This window comes from Homo sapiens, chromosome 6 (genome assembly GCF_000001405.40).
Source record: "Homo sapiens chromosome 6, GRCh38.p14 Primary Assembly".
NCBI lineage: Eukaryota > Metazoa > Chordata > Mammalia > Primates > Hominidae > Homo > Homo sapiens.
The window spans coordinates 145,958,564-145,980,238 of NC_000006.12; the positions used below are offsets into that span (position 1 = coordinate 145,958,564).

General features: G+C 39.5%; 1 protein-coding gene across 18 annotated transcripts in view, besides 5 other annotated features; it reads right to left on the reverse strand.

The window, feature by feature from the left end:
• The window catches only part of SHPRH (SNF2 histone linker PHD RING helicase), a 106,521-nt gene extending 100,726 nt beyond the window's left edge, over positions 1-5,795 (reverse strand). For 12 of the 18 annotated variants that reach the window (XR_942393.4, XR_942390.4, XM_047418600.1 and 9 more), the window contains exon 1: positions 5,594-5,795. The gene's annotated coding sequence lies outside the window, so the exon portion shown is untranslated. Of the gene's footprint in view, positions 1-5,167 lie in introns of all 18 variants that reach the window. The other 6 variants (XM_047418601.1, XM_047418603.1, XM_017010692.2 and 3 more) reach the window with 1 other exon arrangement.
• Positions 5,312-5,441: an enhancer, noted in NCBI's record as "active region_25229". NCBI's record gives its function as "activates an Ori minimal core promoter by ATAC-STARR-seq in GM12878 lymphoblastoid cells {active_cell/tissue: GM12878}" and the evidence as "EXISTENCE:reporter gene assay evidence [ECO:0000049][PMID:35858748]".
• Positions 5,552-5,771: an enhancer, noted in NCBI's record as "active region_25230". NCBI's record gives its function as "activates an Ori minimal core promoter by ATAC-STARR-seq in GM12878 lymphoblastoid cells {active_cell/tissue: GM12878}" and the evidence as "EXISTENCE:reporter gene assay evidence [ECO:0000049][PMID:35858748]".
• Positions 5,552-6,670: a biological region, named in NCBI's record as "H3K27ac hESC enhancer GRCh37_chr6:146285382-146286369".
• Positions 5,683-6,670: an enhancer, noted in NCBI's record as "H3K27ac hESC enhancer chr6:146285382-146286369 (GRCh37/hg19 assembly coordinates)". NCBI's record gives its function as "activates a minimal SCP1, AML or CMV promoter by ChIP-STARR-seq in primed H9 embryonic stem cells {active_cell/tissue: H9 hESC(primed)}" and the evidence as "EXISTENCE:reporter gene assay evidence [ECO:0000049][PMID:30033119]".
• Positions 6,222-6,271: an enhancer, noted in NCBI's record as "active region_25231". NCBI's record gives its function as "activates an Ori minimal core promoter by ATAC-STARR-seq in GM12878 lymphoblastoid cells {active_cell/tissue: GM12878}" and the evidence as "EXISTENCE:reporter gene assay evidence [ECO:0000049][PMID:35858748]".

The window sequence follows — 21,675 nt, forward strand, 5'->3', positions numbered from 1 at the left end:
CTTTATTTAGGAACAAGGTGGCCCTATGATTCAAAGGAAGTGATTTCCTTGGCACCTCCAAGGAAGTAGTTTCTAGCTACTATTGGCCAAAGCAAATCCAATAAGGTAGTTATTGGCTGCATGTGACTACTTAACTTTCAATACAGTTATGCATTGTATAATGACATTTTGGTCAATGAGGGACCAAATATTACAGTGGTTCCATAAGGGAGCTGAAAAATTCCTATGGACTAGTGACATCATAGCCATTGTAACATCATAATGCATTTATTTATTTATTTATTTATTGAGATAGAGACTCACTCTGTTGCCCAGCTGGAGTGCAGTGGCGTGATCTCTGCTCACTGCAAGCTCCACCTCCTGGGTTCATGCCATTCTCCTGCCTCAGCCTCCTGAGTAGCTGGGACTACAGGCGCCTGCCACTATGCCCAGCTAACTTTTTTTTTGTATTTTTAGTAGAGACGGGGTTTCATGTGTTAGCCAGGATGGTTTTGAACTCCTGAACTCAAGATCTGCATGCCTCAGCCTCCCAAAGTGCTGGGACTACAGGCGTGAGCCACCGCGCCTAGCCGCATTACTTTATTTTTTAATAAACTTTGTGTAGCATAAGTGTACAGTGTTTACAAAGTCTACAGAAGTGTACAGTAATGTCCCAGGCCTTCACATTCACTCCCTGACTAACCCAGAGCAACCTTCAGTGTTATAAGCTGCATTCATGCTAAGTACCCCACAAAGGTGTACTATTTTTTATCTTTTATACCATATCTTTATTGTACATTTTCTATATTTAAATATGTTTAAATATACAAATACTACGGTGTGACAACTGCCTACAGTATCCAGTACCGAATATACTGTACAGGTTTGTAGCCTAGGAGCAGCAGGCTGTACCATAGAGCCTAGGTGTGTAGTAGGCTGGCGGTACCACCTAGGTTTGTGTAAGTATACTCTTAAGATGTTCACACAACAAACTTGCCTATGATGCATTCCTCAAAACACAGCCCCATCATTAAGTGATGCATGACTATAAATAAAATTAAATGTTATAAACTCAGCTCTTCAGTCTCACTAGCCCCATGTGCTCAGTAGCGCTATGTGACTAGTGGCTACTGTACTGGACAGCACAAATATAGAGCATTCACATAATTGCAAAAAGTCTATGTATCAGACAGTGCTTGTTTAAGTCAATCATGAGAATTCTATTCCCTTAGCCCGTGCTTCACTTATGAATGTGCAGGTGATGGATTAAAATCAATCCTTGGCTATGGTCAACTACTTTTAAAGCATCTTATCCTCTCTTATCTTAGTGGAATAATATAGAAAGCTCTTAATTTCCTAAGTGTTTATGTTTGTCCAGTTTTCCTCAAAGCATAAGCTGGAATACTGAAAGTGGGTCACTCTGCAGGAACTTTAAAAAGTTATGCTATAGTAGCTTATCAGTTAACTACTGCCACAAACATGCTGTGTAACACACTACCTCAAAGCTCAATACCTTGATATAGCAATCATTTATTCTCATAGATCTGCACATTAGCTGAAGGAGGCTAATCTAGGCTAGGTTTCTGGAAAAGCAGTTTGGCTCTGCTTAATGTAGTTCCTATCCCCTCTCCTTGGATCAGCAAAGTAACTCAGGAATGTTCTTTATGGCAATGGTTGAGGTGTATTACTGCAAATCCAATCACACAAGTAGTTTTCAAAGTGCTTAAAAACCACTAAGGTGCCACAGACCAAAGCAAGACATATCCATGGACCCAATGTCAAGTGGTGAAGAAATATACTACACCTCTTTACTAGGTGAAACTGCACATGGCAAAGAGCATGGATATGGGGGGTGGAAGGGTAGAGGGAGTGTTGGAAGGGAATTGGGCCAGTTACACAATGTATCACACTAACCATAATAATATTAATAACATGGTTATTGTGGAATCATTAACTCTGAAAACCCAAAAAGCAACTGTCTAGCAGAGTCTCACATTAGCAAAGCGATGTGGCTTAAAGGTGAGAATGCAATGCTTTGAAGTCTTATATTCATTCTAATTCCAGCTTTGGCATTTACTGACTGTGTGGCATTGGAATAGTTATCCAGTCTTCTGTGCCAATTTTCTCATCTCTAAAATGGGGATGATAGCAGGATTGTGGTTAGAAATAATTTAAGTACAACAGCAGTACTAGAAATTTGGCCTGTATTCCATAAATGGTAGTTGCTACTTATCATCATCCTGAGAACACTCTAAACCAGCAGTTCCCAACCTTTTTGGTACCATAAATGGGTTTCATGGAAGACAAGTTTTCCATGGACCGGAGGAGAGGGGTGGAGTGGAGAGGGGGTTGTTTAGGGATGAAACTATTCCACCTTAGATCATCAGGCATTAGGTTTTAATAAGAAGTGCACAACCTAGATCCTGCGCATATGCAGTTCACGATAGCATTCATGCTCTTATGGTAATCTACTGACTGTTGATCTGACAGGAGGCACAGCTCAGGTGGTAATGCTCGCTTGCCCGCAACTCACCTCCTGCAATGCAGCCCGGTTCTAACAGGCCACGGACTGGCACCGGTCCATGGCCTGAGGGGTGGGGACCCCTGCTCTAAACCACATTTCACAATAACCAAACTGTAATGTCGCAGGATGGGGGACCACAGATTAGTGCTTCTCAAACTTGACTGCACATTAGAATCACCAGGGGAACTTAAAAAAATCCTGATGTCGAGCCAACTAAGTCAGAATGTCTTGGAGAAGGGCCCAGGCACTACTCCCTTTATTTTTTAGAATCCCTAAAAAATTCCAGGGTGCAGCCAAGTTCAAAAAACCTTGTTATGGATAACCAGCTGCCAACTAAAATCCACTTATTTCCACTCAAAGTATAGAGTAGTTGAGAAATGACTGCCCAGCTTGGTTTGGTCCTGTGACCAGTCCTAGCCAATGGAATGTGAGAAGTAATATGTGCCATGTTTCCCACAATAATTTTGTAACAGACATATTACCAAACCAGAAAACATTACTTCAACTATTTATTCTGTTCTCTGGTAAAACCTATCCAGTATCTTTTAAATTATGTACACCATTATAATTTGCACATTCCTTCAGATGTATTCTTTCAGCCTGATTCTTCCAATATTAGTGCCTCAAGGTACTTATCAGTGATAATGATAAACTGCAGAAAAGTCAACACCAGAATTTCTAGCAATGCTCTCCCTTTGTCCAGTTCTTAACTGAGTAAACATTCATGATCAAAAATCAACCAACCAAACAAAAAGCTCCTGGTTTTGACTGAGTCTTTACTTAAGGAAATCTCTATTCAGGGTTAACTTCTTGAACCAAAGAAAATAGTATTTGGTCAAATATACTTATGACTAAAATGCAATTTGGCAACTAGTAAGTCAAGTACTGGTGAAATTCTGTATCTAACCACATCCCATATTCTTCTGGTTTTATTCATACCTTATCAGTCACAACTACTTCTTCCTCCTCCTTAATTAGCAGTGTTTGGGTAAAACGTAATTATGTGAAGTTTTCTATATGGACCGCACTTTTACTGTCTTGTATTTAAATATAAAAGCCTTTTGCTTGAATTGCTTTTATGCCTGTCTCCATCCCAATCTTCCCTGGAAAGGCTTCCATGACTAGAGAAGCTGAGTTAAGGGCCTCTCTCTCCTCGATCCCAACTGCTAGAGTGTTCACTTTGAAAGATGGGCAGGAGTAGTATCCTATTCAGTGTTGTACTCCCAATGCCAGGTCAGTGCTAGGAAGTAAAGACATACAAAAAGGGTGAAACAAAGATCTCTAATTCCGTGGATGTATTCCCTCCTTTTGAGGACCTAACGATACTTTACTCTTATTTCTTTTTGGAGAAGTCTCTCTTATCCACATTCTAGAAGACTATAGGTAATATGAAACTAGTATTTCTGAGAAAAATGAAATACTAGAACGAGGCAGGGAAAACTGCCTGAACTGTATCTTTAACAGAAAACAAGGATGGAATGCTAGAAAAATAAACATAAAATGTTACATTACTAAGACAATCCAACAAATGAATAACACAACTTAAATTCACATTTTTTCCCTCCAAAATATTATTTCCTCTTTAAAAGATACACACAAATCTTGAATTACAACAAATCCATGGTAGATCTGGGTTTAGGCTATTAAGGGCAAAAAGGATTACATACTTGCCATATTCCTGTCCAAAATGTTGTGTTATGGAAATGAAGCCCACTCATTACTAAGTACTAGGAAGCTCTTAATGACCCAGGGTTAACATAATCTTTTCCTTTTCTGTAGAAATAATTCCAGCAAGGTGAGAGTATTTTCTTCTACTGAATGCTAAAATATGCTAGTTACATAAACTTTAAAAATGCCCTCATAAGAAGCTTTTTCACCAGCAAATTGTTTCCCCTAAATCTTACTGGCCTAAACTCTTAATAATAAAAGTTTTGTTTTAATAATTCTGTAAGTCCAGCTCCTTTCGGGTGGACAAAGAGGATATACAAGAGCATCTCTCAAAAGTAAACTATTTTATTCTCAATTGCCAGCTTACTGGTTAACTGGTCCTTTAAAGCTCTAGAAAGTGCAGGTTATCGAGCACAGACATAATCATTACAATACTGCTCAGGACTGCTCTGTCTCCAGCATGTTTACTAATCATAAACTAAATAGTCTTTTTTGTGACAGTAGAGATATCATGGATCGTTTCTATTCAAGAGTTTCATCATTCCTACTAATGCCCACTGGAATAATTTAAAGTAACAGTAATAACTTTATCTTATTTTGTTCAGAAAAAGCCCCAAGTTCCTTAAGTTCCTTAAGTACAAGTTGGAAGGCATCAAACATCTCGGATTTCTACCTCGTGCTAATGTCAAACTACTTGGAAAAAGGGCACAAGCTTCCTGGTCATTATTTAACTGATCATTATACAGTGACTATTAATCATCAAATAACACCCTATCTTCGTTCATAAACATAGCAACTACCAGTCAAACTGTACAATGTCAAAGAGTGGTTCTGAATTCGAATGTAATTAATCTGGCTCCAAAGGTAACGGAGAACTTTGAGTGGGACTGAGAAACCTCTGCCTCCCCTTTTACTAATACAATGCCGCGCACAAAGAAGGGAGGCGGCGACCCAGTTCCAGCCTCCGGGGGTAGATCTGCGGCGCACGGTACCCACTCAGTTATCTTCCGAAAGACCCACAAGCGGCTCCCGGAGTCTGAGCGGGGCTGTCAGCGCCGGATCGCTCCCAGCAGGCCGAGCAAACAAGCGACCGCGAGGCCAAGGAGCGTGACGACGGACTCCCGGATCCTAGTGTGTTGGACGCTCGAGACAAACACCGCAGGCCCCAGTGCATGAGGAGAAGCACAGCCTCCTTTCCCACGACCCCACTTTATCCCCGGAGGGACGTGGTGGTCCGAAGTTCGCTAGTCCGGGATCGGGAAGAGGTGGGGAAGACTCGCGCAGCGGCTCCCTCTCAGCCCTTGAGCTTCCCGGGCTCCAGGACAACCAGCGTCCTCCCTCCCTGGTCCCGGAGGCCAAAGACCACCTCCCTCCCTCCCTCCCGACCTCTGACCCCTGACCTTCCATCACCCAAGCGCCTACCCAAGCTGGTTCTCCGAGCCTCTTGAGTCTGTTTGCACCAGGCCTGCGCTCCTCTACAGACCCAGCAGATCACGGGCACGCATTCGCCACCCACCGAACATGGGCTTGAGGTGGGCACGAGCGCTTTTTGCCGGAACGTGTAGGGGTCCCCCGGGAGACCCAGAAACCACAGCGCCTAGCTGCCGGGCGCGCGCTGTAGCGTGGGGTCAAGGCGAACGCGCTCGTCAGAGCACCCCGCCCCCTTTCTCCTGCGCTGGCTTCATGAGTCTCTTCTGCGCAAGTTCACACTGTTAAAAACTTGCTGAGGATACAGTGGAGTCTCGCGATAGCTCTGCCCCACGCCATTAGAGAACACAGGATGGCCGAATGCCCGAAGTAGGGGGCGGGGCTCCCCTTGAAGCGAAGGGCGTGTGTGATTTGTATCTCTAATAAAAAGGCAGGGGCCAGGAGCGGTGGCTCACGCCTGTAATCCCACCACTTTGGGAGGCCGAGGCGGGCGGATTTCCTGAGGTCAGGAGTTGGAGAACAGCCTGGCCAAGATAGCGAAACCCCGTCTCTACTAAAAATACAAAAATTAGCCGGGCGTTGTGGTGCGCGCCTGTAGTACCCGCCTGTAGTCCCAGCTGCTCGGGAGGCTGAAGCAGGAGAATGCTTGAACCTGCGAGGCAGAGATTGAGTAAGCCGACATCTCCCCACTGGGTGATAGAATGAGACTCCGTCTCACAAAAGAAAAGCAGAAAAGAATTCTGCAAAAGCATCTATTTTACTGCTATAAAGCAGCCACTAAGTAGGTACGAATAAAGCTTCTCCCCCTCAAAAACAGACTTTAAAGGGAAATGTGAATAAATATTCAAAGATGAGAGAAACTATTAAATACATGTGTTGCGCTGAAGCTGGCCTTCCACTATTGGTCTTTTTTCCTCTCACCTCTTCCTCATAGAAGTGACCTTAATGTTGGAATAACTCTGAGAGGCTTCAGGGTCAGGAGCCTGTGAAATAACCCTCAGGAAACACTGGGGACTCAGTACTTAGTTAGTGAGTACCTAATAGCAGCTTTTCTGCTGTGGAGGCCTTTTGGGTTGTGTGACCACAGAAGCACTTGAACTAAGTTCTTGTCCAAGTGAATATCGGTTGTAGTTGTGTTAGACAGTCCAGGGTAGTCCATATTTTACTTAGTATATTCCTTTATCACAGATACGAAGCTGTTTCCATAAGCAAATCCCCGCCTCCTTTTATTTTGCTTCCCTTTATTGTACTTTGCAGATAATATGTTTTCCTATAAATTGAAGTTTTTTGGCAACCTTACTCAAGCAAGTCTGTCAGCATCATTTTTCAAGCAGCATGTGTTCACTTGCTGTTCATCTGTTATGGTGATCTATGATTAGTTATCTTTGATGTTACTATTGTAGTTTTTTGGGAGCATTACAAACTCTGCTCATAGAAGATGCTAAACTTAATAAATGTTGTGTGTGTTCTGAAAGCTTCACTATTGGCGCCTGTCTCTCTTCCTCTCTTCAGGCCTCCCTATTCTTTGAGACACAACAATATTGAAATTAGGCCAATTAATAACCCTACAATGGACTATTAAGTGTTCAAGTAAAAGGAAGGGTGGCACATCTCTCACTTTAAATCGAAAACCGAAGGAATTTAGTGAGGAAGCCATGTCAAAAGCTGAGATAAGCCAAAAGCTAGGCCTCTTGTACCAAAGTTAGCTAAGTTGTGAATGCAAAGGAAAAGTTCTAGAAGGGAATTAAAAGTGCTACTCCAATGAAAACACAAATGATAAGAAAACGAAACAGCCTCATGCTGATATGGAAAAAGTTTTAGTGGCCTGAATAAAAGATAAAACCAGCCTCAGCATTCCCTTAAGCCAAAGCCTAATCCAGAGCAAGGCCCTAACTTTTTTCAGTTCTGTGAAGGCTGAGAGAGGTGATGAAGCTGTAGCAGAAAAATGTGAAGCAAGCAGAGGTTGGTTCATGAGATTTAAGAAAAGAAGCCATCTCCATAACATCAAAGTACAAGGTGAAGGAGCAAGTGCTGATGTAGAAGCTGTGGCAAGTTTTTCAGAAGATCTAGCTAAAATAATTGAAGCAGGTGGCCACACAAAACAACAGATTTTCCATGTAGATAAGACAGCTTTCTATAGAAAGAAAAGGCCATCTAGGACTTTCATAGCTTCTAAGCTTCACAGGACAGGTTGACTCTCTTGTTAGGGGCTAATGCAGCTAATGACTTGAATTTGAGGCCAATACTCATTTATCATTCTGAAACTCCTAGGGCCCTAAAGAGTTATGCTAAATCTATTCTGTCTGTACTCTATAAATGGAACAATGAAGTGTGGATGACAGCACATCTACTTAACAGCATAGATGTACAGGATATTTTAAGCCCACTGTTCAGACCTACTGCTCAGAAAAAAAAAAGATTCCTTTCAAAATATTACTGCTCATTTATAATGCACCTGGTCACCCAAGAGCTCTGATGGAGATGTACAAGGAGATTAATGTTGTTTTCATGCCTGTTAACACAAAACCCATTCTGCAGCCCATGGATCAAGAGTAATTTTAACTTTGACATCTTATTATTTAAGAAGTAATAAGGCTATGGATGACATAGATAGGAATTCTTCTGATAGATCTAGACAAAGTAAATTAAAAACTTCTGGAAAACATCCACCATTCTGTATGTCATTAACAACATTTGAGATTGGTGGGAGAGGTCAAAATATCATTAATAGTAGTTTAGAAGAAGTTGATTCCATCTCTCAGGAACTCAAAGTCTCAGCTTTGAAGGGATTGAGACTTCAATGGAGGAAGTAACTGCAGATGTGGTGGAAACAGCAAGAGAGCTAGAATTAGAAGTGGGGTCTGAAGATATGACAGAACTGCTGCAATCTCATAGTAAAACTTTAATGGATGAAGAGTTACTTCTTATAGATAAGCCAAGAAACTGGTTTCCTGAGATGGAATATACTCCTGGGAAGATACTGTGAACGTTGTTGAAATGACAGCAAAGATTTTAAAATATTTCATAAATTTAGTGGACAAAGCAGTCCAGAGTTTAAGGGGATTGACTTGAGTTTTGAAAGAAGTTCTACTGTTGGTAAAATGCTATCAAAGAGCAGTTCATATCATGGAGGAATATTTTGTGAAATAAAGAGTCAATTGCTGCAGCCAACTTTTTTAAGCAATATTTTTTAAGCAAGATTTTTTTTAGCAATACAATATTTTTTAAGTTAAGGTAGATACTTTTTTTAGACATAATGCTATTGCACACTTAACACACTACATTGTAGTGTCAGTGTCACTTTTATATGCACTGGGAAACAAAAAAAATATCCTGTGACTTACTTTATTGCAATATTTGCCTTATTGTGGTAGCCTGGAACAAAACTTGTGATATCTCCAAGGTATGCCTATAGATGGAAATCAGTTACCTTATTCCAGGATTTATGAGGCAAGCTGGAAAAAGTAGTGCTAATGCTGGAACAGTGGGCAAGTAGGATCCTCCTTCCTTGGCAAACCAATCATTTTATCAAATACAAGGTGATGTAACCTTGCTTCTGAAAGTGTAATTTGCAACTTGCTATTTAAACATATGATGTGCTGAGTAAGGTTATCTTTGATAGTTTTATGTCACTTCTCATCATTGGAGCAGATAATTAGGCCCAAAGTTTGGCTGAGTCTATCCAACTAGTGCTAGGCAGAAATATTTAAAAATAAGCACAGCATCATTTCACCTTTGTTCACCTTGATTGGGGTAATTTATATATGTAATCATGGTAATGTCCATGCAAGATATTAAACTTCAGATCCAGTTGTCTGTCGTATGGAGATGCAATTTCAACTGTAGAGATGGAATTCTGTATACTACCATTCAGTGATTAGAATGAAACAAAATTCTTTTAAATTTTCCAGTGTTCAATCCTATATTTACCAAATGCTCTGCCTATTCTTTGAAAAATTTCTCTCTGGAATAATATTTTTCATCAGAGCTAATTTCAGAAAACATGGTTCATGATTGCACCTTGGCTCTCTGGCAGCTCCCAGCTGTGAGACACCTGTTCACCCCTGAGTACACTGAGTTCATCCACCTATTAGATGCTAGTGATCTAATGACATTCCGCAAATCAGAATGAACTGATTGGACATCGTGCATCTTGACAGTGAATAACTCAGTGTTCACGGAGTTCATCTGCTCCTTCTTGAAACTATAACATGAGATCAGTCAGACCACTTTCTTCCTTGTATGGTCTCACTAGCTTTAGCTGTAGGTTCATTTTCTTTTAGGGACAGTGGCTTTATTCTAGCCATACCCCTAACTGGGGCATCTATTTTACAAATGAATATTCTAAGTTGTTCTCAAGGAGGAGGACTAGTTGAGAGGGAGTAGAGGAGTTAAGACAAATTTAACTCCCTTTAGGGACAGAAACAAGATAAATGATGATTTATCAGTGAAGAACTTTATATTTTGCAAAGCCCTTTTATGTTTATTTTTTTATTTGATCCCTAGACTAGTAATAGGCTTTTAAAATTTCCATTTTACAGGAGAGCAATCTGAGACTCAGAAATTTGGTAATTTGCCACAATTTAGCTGTAAGAGAACAAGAGGACCTAAAACTCTTTATTCCTCTGTCTAGGCTATTGTCTCTTATTACTAAATCATGTTGTCTATCAAATAAAAATATACAACTTAGTCCTCAAACTTACTAAGTAATCATGGGCAAACTGAAGGCAAGAGGTGTGTCATTACTTAATGACATAGGGCTTGTATATCAACAATAAGGATCATTCAGTACAAACACTGTGTTCTCCTGAATAGATCATTAACAAAATGACTAGAGAAATTTATTCTGTATTCTACCTACCTTTGCCAGCTCTCTGGAAACAAAGTAGGTGGCCCACCCAGTATGATTGGGGATTCCCAAAGATGACTCCTTGTTGCCAATTCCTACTACCAACCTGTCTTGGGACTGCTTTCCCTTCTGACAAATTGAAAATATTAGGATCAAAGTCTCCGCTATTCTGGAATGAATTACAACGTCCAAAACCACTGGTAGAATGCATGTAGTACCAAAAAAAGAGTGGGAAGAAGAAACATGGTCTTGGAAAATTGGTGCTAGCAGGGGTCATCAGCTATGCTGAAAGGAGTGGTATCAGATCAACCAAACATAAAATGGTACCAAGGGTCGGACATGCTTTGCAGGAGCATGAGCAGGATATATCAGGGACAGGAGGTGTGCGAATTGAACCCAAATCCTCATATTTAGAACTTTACAGCTTTTCCCTAGACTAGACCTGGGTAGATTTAATTGTTAATTTTGTTTCATTTTTCCTTGATGATTTACAAGTTGGATTGGTTTCAAGCCCAAAGTTTGTTCGGTCTCCCCTGCTGCAAGCTCAGCCTGAAAACTAAAACCTCAAGCTGTGTTCCTTCTGCCTCTCATAACTTCTAAAGCAAAACTTGTAGTCTGTACACAAAATGCTGCAATGGACATGAACCTATGACAGTGTTTGTTTTAGGTGTGAATAAAGCAACGATTTAAATTAGGTAAAAGCAAGAAGGTTGAAGGTGAATCTGCTGGTAAGGAAAGATAGGAGATTATATTCAGTGTTTAACAATGAAGATAGTATAATCTGTATCATAGGCTCTCCTTCCCACCATCCCAGAGCCTCCCCACCCTCCATACCCAACTGTTACATTTTCCCCTAAGGCATATTTTTTCAATTAATCTTGTCAGTATGGTGTTAGGCATTAAAGAATAGGAATATTGTCGACGACTCTGTCGATACTTATGACTCTGAGTAATATTTATTATGCAGTTTTGAGATCTACAAGTAAAATATTCTCTGAGTATTTCAAGGGTCACAATCGTGTCATTTTGAAGTACAAAAATAGTGGATAGCACTTTCAGAATGCATCTAAGACCTCAAGAAATCTTTTTTTTTTGATGTATATATATAAATTTATTATACTTTAAGTTTTAGGGTACATGTGCACAACGTGCAGTTTTGTTACATATGTATACATGTGCCATGTTGGTCTCCTGCACCCATTAACTCTTCATTTAACATTAGGTATATCTCCTAATGCTATGCCTCCCCCCTCCCCCCTCCCCCCACCCCACAACAGGCCCCAGTGTGGGATGTTCCCCTTCCTGTGTCCATGTGTTCTCATTGTTCACTTCCCACCTATGAGTGAGAACATGCGGTGTTTGGTTTTTTGTCCTTGTGATAGTTTGCTGAGAATGATGGTTTCCAGCTTCATCCATGTCCCTACAAAGGACATGAGCTCATCATTTTTTATGGCTGCATAGTATTCCATGGTATATATGTGCCACATTTTCTTAATCCAGTCTACCATTGTTGGACATTTAGGTTGGGTCCAAGTCTTTGCTATTGTGAATAGTGCTGCAATAAACATACATGTGCATGTGTCTTTATAGCAGCATGTTTTATAATCCTTTGGGTATACATCCAGTAATGGGATGGCTGGGTCAAATGGTATTTCTAGTTCTAGATCCCTGAGGAATCGCCACACTGACTTCCACAAGGGTTGAACTAGTTTACAGTCCCACCAACAGTGTAAAAGTGTTCCTATTTCTCCACATGCTCTCCAGCACCTGTTATTTCCTGACTTTTTAATGATTGCCATTCTAACTGGTGTGAGATGGCATCTCATTGTGGTTTTCATCTGCATTTCTCTGATGGCCAGTGATGATGAGCATTTTTTCATGTGTCTTTTGGCTGCATAAATGTCTACTTTTGAGAAGTGTCTGTTCATATCCTTTGACCACTTTTTGATGGGGTTGTTTTTTTTTTTCTTGTAAATTTGTTTGAGTTCATTGTACATTCTGGATATTAGCCCTTTGTCAGATGAGTAGGTTGCAAAAATTTTCTCCCATTCTGTAGGTTGCCTGTTCACTCTGATGGTAGTTTCTTTTGCTGTGCAGAAGCTCTTTAGTTTAATTAGATCCCATTTGTCAATTTTGGCTTTTGTTGCCATCGCTTTTGGTGTTTTAGACATGAAGTCCTCGCCCATGCCTATGTCCTGAATAGTATTGCATAGGTTTTCTTCTAGGGTTTTTATGGTTTTAGGTCTAACATTTAAGTCTTTAATCCATCTTGAATTAATTTTTGTGTAAGGTGTAAGGAAGGGATCCAGTTTCAGCTTTCTACATAGGGCTAGCCAGTTTTCCCAGCACCATTTATTAAATAGGGAATCCTTTCCCCATTGCTTGTTTTTGTCAGGTTTGTCAAAGATCAGATAGTTATAGATATGCAGCATTATTTCTGAGGCCTCTGTTCTGTTCCATTGGTCTATATCTCTGTTTTTGTACCAGTACCATGCTGTTTTGGTTGCTGTAGCCTTGTAGTGTAGTTTGAAGTCAGGTAGCGTGATGCCTCCAGCTTTGTTCTTTTGGCTTAGGATTGATTTGGCGATGTGGACTCTTTTTTGGTTCCATATGAACTTTAAAGTAGTTTTTTCCAATTCTGTGAAGAAAGTCATTGGTAGCTTGATGGGGATGGCATTGAATCTATAAATTACCTTGGGCAGTATGGCCATTTTCACGATACTGATTCTTCCTACCTATGAACATGGAATGTTCTTCCATTTGTTTGTATCCTCTTTTATTTCACTGAGCAGTGGTTTGTAGTTCTCCTTGAAGAGGTCCTTCACGTCCCTTGTAAGTTGGATTCCTAGGTATTTTATTCTCTTTGAAGCAATCGTGAATTGGAGTTCACTCATGATTTGGCTCTCTGTTTGTATGTTATTGGTGTATAAGAATGCTTGTGATTTTTGCACATTGATTTTGTATCCTGAGACTTTGCTGAATTTGCCTGTCAGCTTAAGGAGATTTTGGGCTGAGACGATGGGGTTTTCTAGATATAGAATCATGTCGTCAGCAAACAGGGACAATTTGACTTCCTCTTTTCCTAATTGAATACCCTTTATTTCCTTCTCCTGCCTGATTGCCCTGGCCAGAACTTCCAACTCTACGTTGAATAGGAGTGGTGAGAGAGGGCACCCCTGTCTTGTGCCAGTTTTCAAAGGGAATGCTTCCAGTTTTTGCCCATTCAGTATGATACTGGCTGTGGGCTGGTCATAGATAACTCTTATTATTTTGAGATACGTCCCATCAATACCTAATTTATTGAGAGTTTTTAGCATGAAGAGTTGTTGAATTTTGTTAAAGGCCTTTTCTGCATCTATTGAGATAATCATGTGATTTTTGTCGTTGGTTCTGTTTATATGCTCGATTACATTTATTGATTTGCATATGTTGAACCAGCCTTGCATCCCAGGGATGAAGCCCATGTGATCATGGTGGATAAGCTTTTTGATGTGCTGCCCGATTCAGTTTGCCAGTATTTTATTGAGGATATTTGCATCGATGTTCAACAGGGATATTGGTCTAAAATTCTCTTTTTTTGTTGTGTCTCTGCCAGAAATCTTACTCATAATAATCTTAACATAAAATGATGCTTGCCAGAAAATGAAGAACCTTTCCAAAGCTTCCGTCCACTAGCAGGGCAGCGCCATGCTCTGACTTCCACATTTGTGTGTTGTTTAGGTCACCTTGGGACAATGACAAAATTAGATCTGAATTCCATTTCCTTTAAGCCCTGTTAAATTTCTGAACTCCTCATTAGGCCTTTAAATAAATTTAAATTCTTAAATATTTTTAAATACCACACAATAATAGTATATAATTACTAATTATGTTATTTTGTCTGTTTGTTCATTTGTTTTTTAGGATGGGGTCTCACTCTGTCTCCCAGGCTGGAGTGCAGTGGCGCAATCTCAGGTCACAGCAACCTCCGCCCCCTGGTTTCAAGCGATTCTCTTGCCTCAGCCTCCTGAATAGCTGGGCTTGCAGGTGCGTACCACCACACCTGGCTAATTTTTATATCTTTTAGCAGAGACAGGGTTTTGCTATGTTGGCCAGGCTGGTCTCGAACTCCCAACCTCAAGTGATCTGCCTGCCTGGGCCTCCCAAAGTGCTGGGATTATAGGCGTGAGCCACTGCACCCGGCCTAATTATGTTCTTATGCCATAACACCCCCATGTTGACTATGAGCTCCTGGGAGTTCATTTTTAAAAAATTAACCAAACCATCCAACCATCTCAGGTAACTCCAGTGAAACCAATACAGAGACAGATGTTTGGGAACCACTTGAGCAGATAATCTCCAGCTTATGAACTAATTGATTCCTGGTTGGCTAAAAAACTGAGCTTATGTAAATCAAACCCTTATTTCTTGTAGCCACAGTGTTATAAACTGGGACTTCATTCCTGGAAATCTGTTTCATACCTTTAACATACCAAAAGTGTCATGAAAATAAATAGAAAAAAACCTCCACAAATACAGGTGTTAACAACCGTATCTTAAGTACATGAAACAAAACTCCTAATTGGAAAATATATCCTAAATAATGTTTTGAGAAAATTTTCAGCATTGATTAAAATGCCTGAAGTGTCTTAAAACATGATTTCAAAGAAGTTGGGACTGAAGATGCCTTTTTTGAAAAATAAATATTTCAGAAATGAGTATTTTTAGATATTCTTCATGTTCCCAAATACTATTGAATTACCTTAAAATTTGGAGACCTCTGAATTACTCAGCCTTTTGAGTAATTGTTATTTTAATGAAGTCTTCTCTAGCTATATAATATGGTTCTCTATTTTTTGACAGTACTGATTTTTTGAAATGATATTTCTCTTGTCCAGAAGGAGAAGAATGTAGCTAAGAAGACAAATTAAAATGTAATTGTCCAATGGGTTCAAACAGAATGAATTGACAAGGAAAACAATTCACCAGTTGTGTTGTGCTGATGGGAATCACTTTTCTGGATGGGTCAGACAACGTAAAGCTTTCTAATTTTCCCAAATGATAATAAAGAGATTTGGGTGCCTCAATTATTTCCCTCCTTTCCTGTGGGGTACTGTAAATATAATAGTTGTGAGTTCATGAAGTAAAGGTGAGTTGCAGAAGTACAGACCAAAGGAGTTTCCTTTGGATTCACATCATTTAGGGCTCTTTTTTTTCGCTTACAAATAGAAAAAGCATACAGAGGCCGGGTGCAGTGGCTCACGCTTGTAATCCCAGCACTTTGGGAGGCTGAGGAAGGCAGATCATGAGCTCAGGAGTTTGAGACCAGCCTAGCCAATATGGTGAAACCCTGTCTCTACTAAAAATACAAAAAAACCTAGCTGGGCATGGTGGTGCGCACCTGTAGTCCCAGCTACTCGGGAGGCTGAGGCAGGAGAATCACTTGAACCCAGGAGGTGGAGGTTGCAGTGAGCCGAGATTGGGCCACTGCACTCCAGCCTGGACAATAGAGGGAGACTCCGTCTCAAAAAAAAAAAAAAAAAAAAAAAGAAAGAAAGAAAGAAAAAGAAAAAGGATACAGAATCAGACCCTTGTCCAAGACACTGAAATTTAATGGGGAAAATCATAAAGACAAATTTTATCACAGTGGTTATATATTCTGCAATACATGGGGTGAGTATTGAGTATTTCCTAGCCAAGGGCATAGTTCTCAAATTTCTAGTAGAATGAATCAGACTCTGCAGACAGGTTAAAAATCTTTGTCCCAACACTTACTAGCTGCATTTCTTTGGACAACTCATTTCTCTTTTTGAGTCACAATTTAAAAAGTATAATTGGAATAGAAACACCTTCTTTAAGCTTATTGTGTACTGTATGCACATTTGCTCATATACAAGGTGGAAATTTTTTTGCAATTTTCAGAGCTGAAGCTCAGGAAAGCAAGAAAGAAAACGTCTCATGGTCAGGGGTTTTCAACCTCAGTGTTACTGACATTTCGCATGAGATAATTTGTTATGATGGGCTCCCCTGTGCATTGCAGGATGTTTAGGATCATCCCTAGTCTCTACCCACTAAATGCCAGTAGCAACCCCCGACCACAGTCATGACCATCAAAAATGTCCCCAAACACTGCCAAACATCCTCTGGGGGATAAAATCGCCTCTGGTTGAGAATCACTGAGCTAGATACTTGTATCTTTGAATCCTCAGTACCTACCAGATTACCTTGCAGACAGTAGGTGTTTAATAAATGTTTGTGTTAATGTAAGTGTTCACAACTGGGTTTTATTGGTAGGTAAATATCACTGATATAGACTTTGAAACTTTCATCTTTGGATGGAATATTCAGATGCTTTAGCATCATGTCCACTCTTTAAATAAAATTTGTCTAAATTATACTTATCTTTTCTAAACACATCTTGATAAGTGAAATGAGCTTATTTACTCTTTTCGTATGCTTTTCTTGTATATTTCTTAATGTTTCATATTTACTCATTAAGTTATATGATAGATACTGTGATGATTTATTTTCTGTACCTCAGCCAATGCCAATAATAATCCATACAGTGCAACCAACTTTGATGTAATTTCACATGTATGACATGACTTCATTTAAAGATTTTCTTTTCATAAGTTACTATAATTATGTCAATTTAAAGTTTTTATAAAGCTGGCATCTTTTTAAAAAATCTTAGATTATTAAATTGATGGGTGGTTTTGATTAAATGAATTTTCATGTGGACAGAGAAAAAGGTATGATGATTTACTTAGGATTGAAAAATCCTTGGTACAATATAGAGAATTTGCATTTACTGTATTGGGAACCTTAAATATACTGTGTTATCCTGGATTCTGAAGGGACACATTGAAAAATTGTGTTTTAAATTACTAAAGCTAGAATGTGAAAATGTCAATAGACATTTAATATTGGTAACAATTAATATTATCTATTAACAATAGATAATTAACATTAATTAGTATTATCAATAGATAATATTAACCTAACTTCTTCTGTGGCAGTAAATTTTGTGGGATATGGAAAACTGTCTAAAGCTATTCTCTTTACAAGTAACTCTTTTAAGATTTTTATTTTTGCTTGATTCTATCTTGGAAGGTTACTAATAGTTTATTTTGGGGGGTTTATCTAAGGGAGGAGTAGAGTTCTTAGCACATAGGAGGCATGGAGTAAGTTTCATTGTTCTACTCTCTATTCTTTACTCTTCTCAGCCCCAATGTCTGCTTGATGACCAAGTTCTGACCATGAACTTTCATTATCCTAGTTCATATTGCCTTAGTCCATATTCCCACTGGAGTACTGCAACAGATTAAAGGTCACCCTGCCTCAAGTCATGTGCCCCTCTACTCAATTCCTTTTCACATGTCAGTATTTTTTTTAAACATATCTGATTAAATTATTTCTTCTGCTTACTATTCAATAACTCCACATTTCCTTCAAGATAAAGTCTGAATTCGCTTGATCAGTAATGAGTTTTCTGACCTGGCTTCTACCTATCTGCCTTTCTTTATCCTTCATTATGTTCTTGAATTCTGTACTGAAACCATACTGGGTTACTTGAAGCTCCTCTAGCACTATTATCTCCTCTCCAGGTATGTATACATGCTTCTACTTCTGTCTATAATAATCCCATCCATGGCGGGGTGTGGTGGCTCACACCTGTAATGTCAGCACTTTGGGAGGCCGAGGTGGGCGGATCAGGAGGTCAGGAGATGGGGACCATCCTGGCTAACACAGTGAAACCCCGTCTCTACTAAAAATACAAAAAATTAGCTAGGCATAGTGGTGCATGCCTGTAGTCCCAGCTACTCGGGAGGCTGAGGCAGGAGAATTGCTTGAACCCGAGAGATGGAGGTTGCAGTGAGTGGAGATCATGCCACTGCACTCCAGCCTGGGAGACAGAGTGAGACTCTGTCTCAAAATAAAATAATCCCATCCAATTCAGGCCAGCTCACAACTTTTCACTCCTTTCAAACTCACTGGGCCTTGTTTCAGACTACCTTGCCTTGACTTTCCTAGTGTGAGTTACTGTGCTCCTTTTTTTGTTTTCTCAGTATATTATGGAGGTGCCTCTCATGACATTTTTGGCACTGTACCATAATTGGCTATTTACTTGTTCGTCTCGTTTTTAGTAGACTGTAGGCTCCTTGAGGGCAAGGGATATGTCCTATTCATCACTGAATCCTCATTAACAGGGAGCCAACTCAGTCAGTAAATTTAAGTTCTTCTCTTCCTTCTGTTCCAGGTTAGGATCAGAGGACATATTTACTCTGAACATGATATGTTCAGCTTCATTTTCTGGATTCTGGAGGTTGATGTCAAGAATGGTAAAAATGATTCTGATTGCATTGAGTGACCTTATCCTGAGGGTGAGAGAACTGCCTGTTGGAGGGGCTAACCTGTTTGCATCTGTCAAAATTATACTGTCAGCCTAGCTGACTGCCCTGTGGAAAAGTATTTATCTTAATATAAAAAAAGTAGGCATCTCTTAGATAGTACTGTCCAATAGAAATATAATGTGAGCTACATATGTATTTTAAATTTTCTAGTAGCCAGATTTAAAAAGTAAAAAGGAATAGGTGAAATTAATTTTATTAATAATTAATTTAATTAAGAAATTTTATTTAGCCCATTATACTCAAAATATTATCATAATGTAATTGTTATAACTGTATTTTTATTGTAACATATAATCAATATAAAAGTTCTTAATGAGATATTTTATATTCTTGGTTTTTGTACTTGATCTTTGTAATATGGTTTCTATTTTATTCCTATAACACATCTCAGTTTAGACTAGCCACTTTCAAGCACTTAAGAGCCACATATGGCCAGTAGCTACCATATTGGACAGTGTAGCTTTAAAAGCTTAAGTAGAACATGTTAACATAGAATAGGACTGCAAACATTTCCAGGGTTTTCCTTCAGAATCCTTGATGCTGAACTGAGATGTCTGCCCCTTAATGAAGGAGAAAACTAATGAACAACAGGTCACAGGATTGAATAGTAAGAAGAGTGAGGAAATATACATGAATGGCATCACGGATCTGGTAGGTCTCAAGAAGCAAAATCCAATTAAGAGAAAGTCCTCTTAATCATGTTTGACTAAGGGCCAGATGGCCTGATGTAGCACTTTCTAGACTGTGTGAGATGCCAACAAAGATTCCAGGGAAAAGGGTTCAGTGGCCAAATGTGTCTGACTAATAATAGGTTAAGTAGGTGGAGGTGTAGCAGGTTTTTTCCCTGAATGATTTGCAATAGTTTAAAAAATATATGTATAGTTAAAATTATACAAGTAGTCCATGAATGTATTCACTTAAAAAATTAAAATACTATGAAGTCTCTCCTAGATGCTTAATCCTACTTCCTACTCAAAGTGTGTATCATCCCAAATTTTATTGCTGTATTGGAAAAGATCTTTCTAGATCTTTTTCTATATATTTATGAACACACATGTGCACTTAGAAATACTTATAGTGTTTTTTGTTGGATCATACCATAATAGTGCTCCTCTTTATTTTTTTCATTTAACAATATATCTTGGATTTCCATATTAGACACACACACACACACATGCACACACACACATAGCAAGTCAGGGTTTCAGCATAAAATAGAATGCGATTGAAATGGTTCAAGAGACTTTAGTGAGGAGTCTACCATAGAAGAATTGGCAGGATCGAGGGAGCTAACATGAGAGAGTGAGCCACCCAGAGACTAGCAACAAGGGAAGCAGTTATTAGCCCTAACCTGAAGAGGGAAGAAGAAATAATATTACTTACAGAGAGAGCTGGCTGTCCAAAGGGAGCTGGAGTCTTAGAGGGTTGCAGCTGTGATCAGAAATGAAGTACCAAGCAGGGAGAGAACAGGTGAGAAATTGTCTGACCTGTCTTCCTATCTTCTACTGGTATCTCCTGTTGGCTGAATATCATGGAAAGCCAGCTGTGATGCAGCTCAGGTGATGAGTTTATAGAAATCAATCTCTCAGGGAACAGTTTAGAGCAGAGAAAGGCAGAAAATGTCTCTTGGGATCGATTAGAAACAGAGACCAACCAACTGTCACTATTGCCTTTTTTTTTTTTTTTTTAGATGGAGTGTTGTTCTGTCACCAAGGCTGGAGTACAGTGGTGTGATGTCTGCTCACTGCAACCTCTGCCTCCTGGGTTCAAGCGATTCTTCTGCCTCAGCCTCCCGAGTAGCTGGGATTACCGGTGCAAGCCACCATGCCTGGCTAATTTTTGTATTTTAGTAGAGATGGGGTTTCACCATGTTGACTAGGCTGGTCTTGAACTCCTGACCTCAAGTGATCCACCCTCCTCGGCCTCTCAAATTCTGGGATTACAGGCATGAGTCATGGCGTGCAGCCTAGACAACTCTCATTACTGCCTTTCAAAGTTGCTATGCCGATTATTCTCCAGCCACCAGTATGTGAGAATACCTGTGTCCCCATAGAGCTGTGAATACTTGAGATCAAAGATTCCAGAGCTTTTCTTAGCTATTTGACCTTGGAACTCTTTTTTTTGTTCCTAAAATGCTAGTAACATCTTATTGACAAAACATATATTGGGAAACATCCATCTACTAGATAGAATAGTCTTTGGAACCATCCACTTAACAGCTGTGTGACTTTGGTCAAGTTCCTTAGCTGCTCTGAACTTCAGTTTCTTGGAATTAATAATGTCTACTTTGCAGGGTTCTTGACAAGACTAAATGTACTTAGGACAGTATCTGACCCATAGTAGAAAGAGAAAGTGGTAGCTAAAAATAGGGATTGTGGGAACAGAATGTATTTTACCAGGTTTTTAAGGATAAATTTCTTTTTCAATTCTTAAACTTTTCTACCAAATTTCCCTGTGGTCAGAGAAAGGTCTGCTATGTCATAGGAGCCTCAAGATGTGGCCTTTGAAGCCATCTAGCACACTTGTGAAATGGGTTTTATCTTTTAAAAATCACATAAGTAGGCCGGGCACAGTGGCTCATGCCTGTAATCCTAGCACTTTGGGAGGCCAAGGCTGGCAGATTGCTTGATCCCCACAGTTTGAGACCAGCCTGGCAACATGGCGAAATCCCATCTCTATTAAAAAAAAGATAAGTGAAAAGCATATAAGTATTATGTTCAAATCAATAATTCATTTTCTAAACTATAAAATATATTTTAATTGTCCAAATATTAATTATATTTTAATTTGGCCCAAGACTTCATGTAAAAAAATTACCATTTTACATGAAGCCT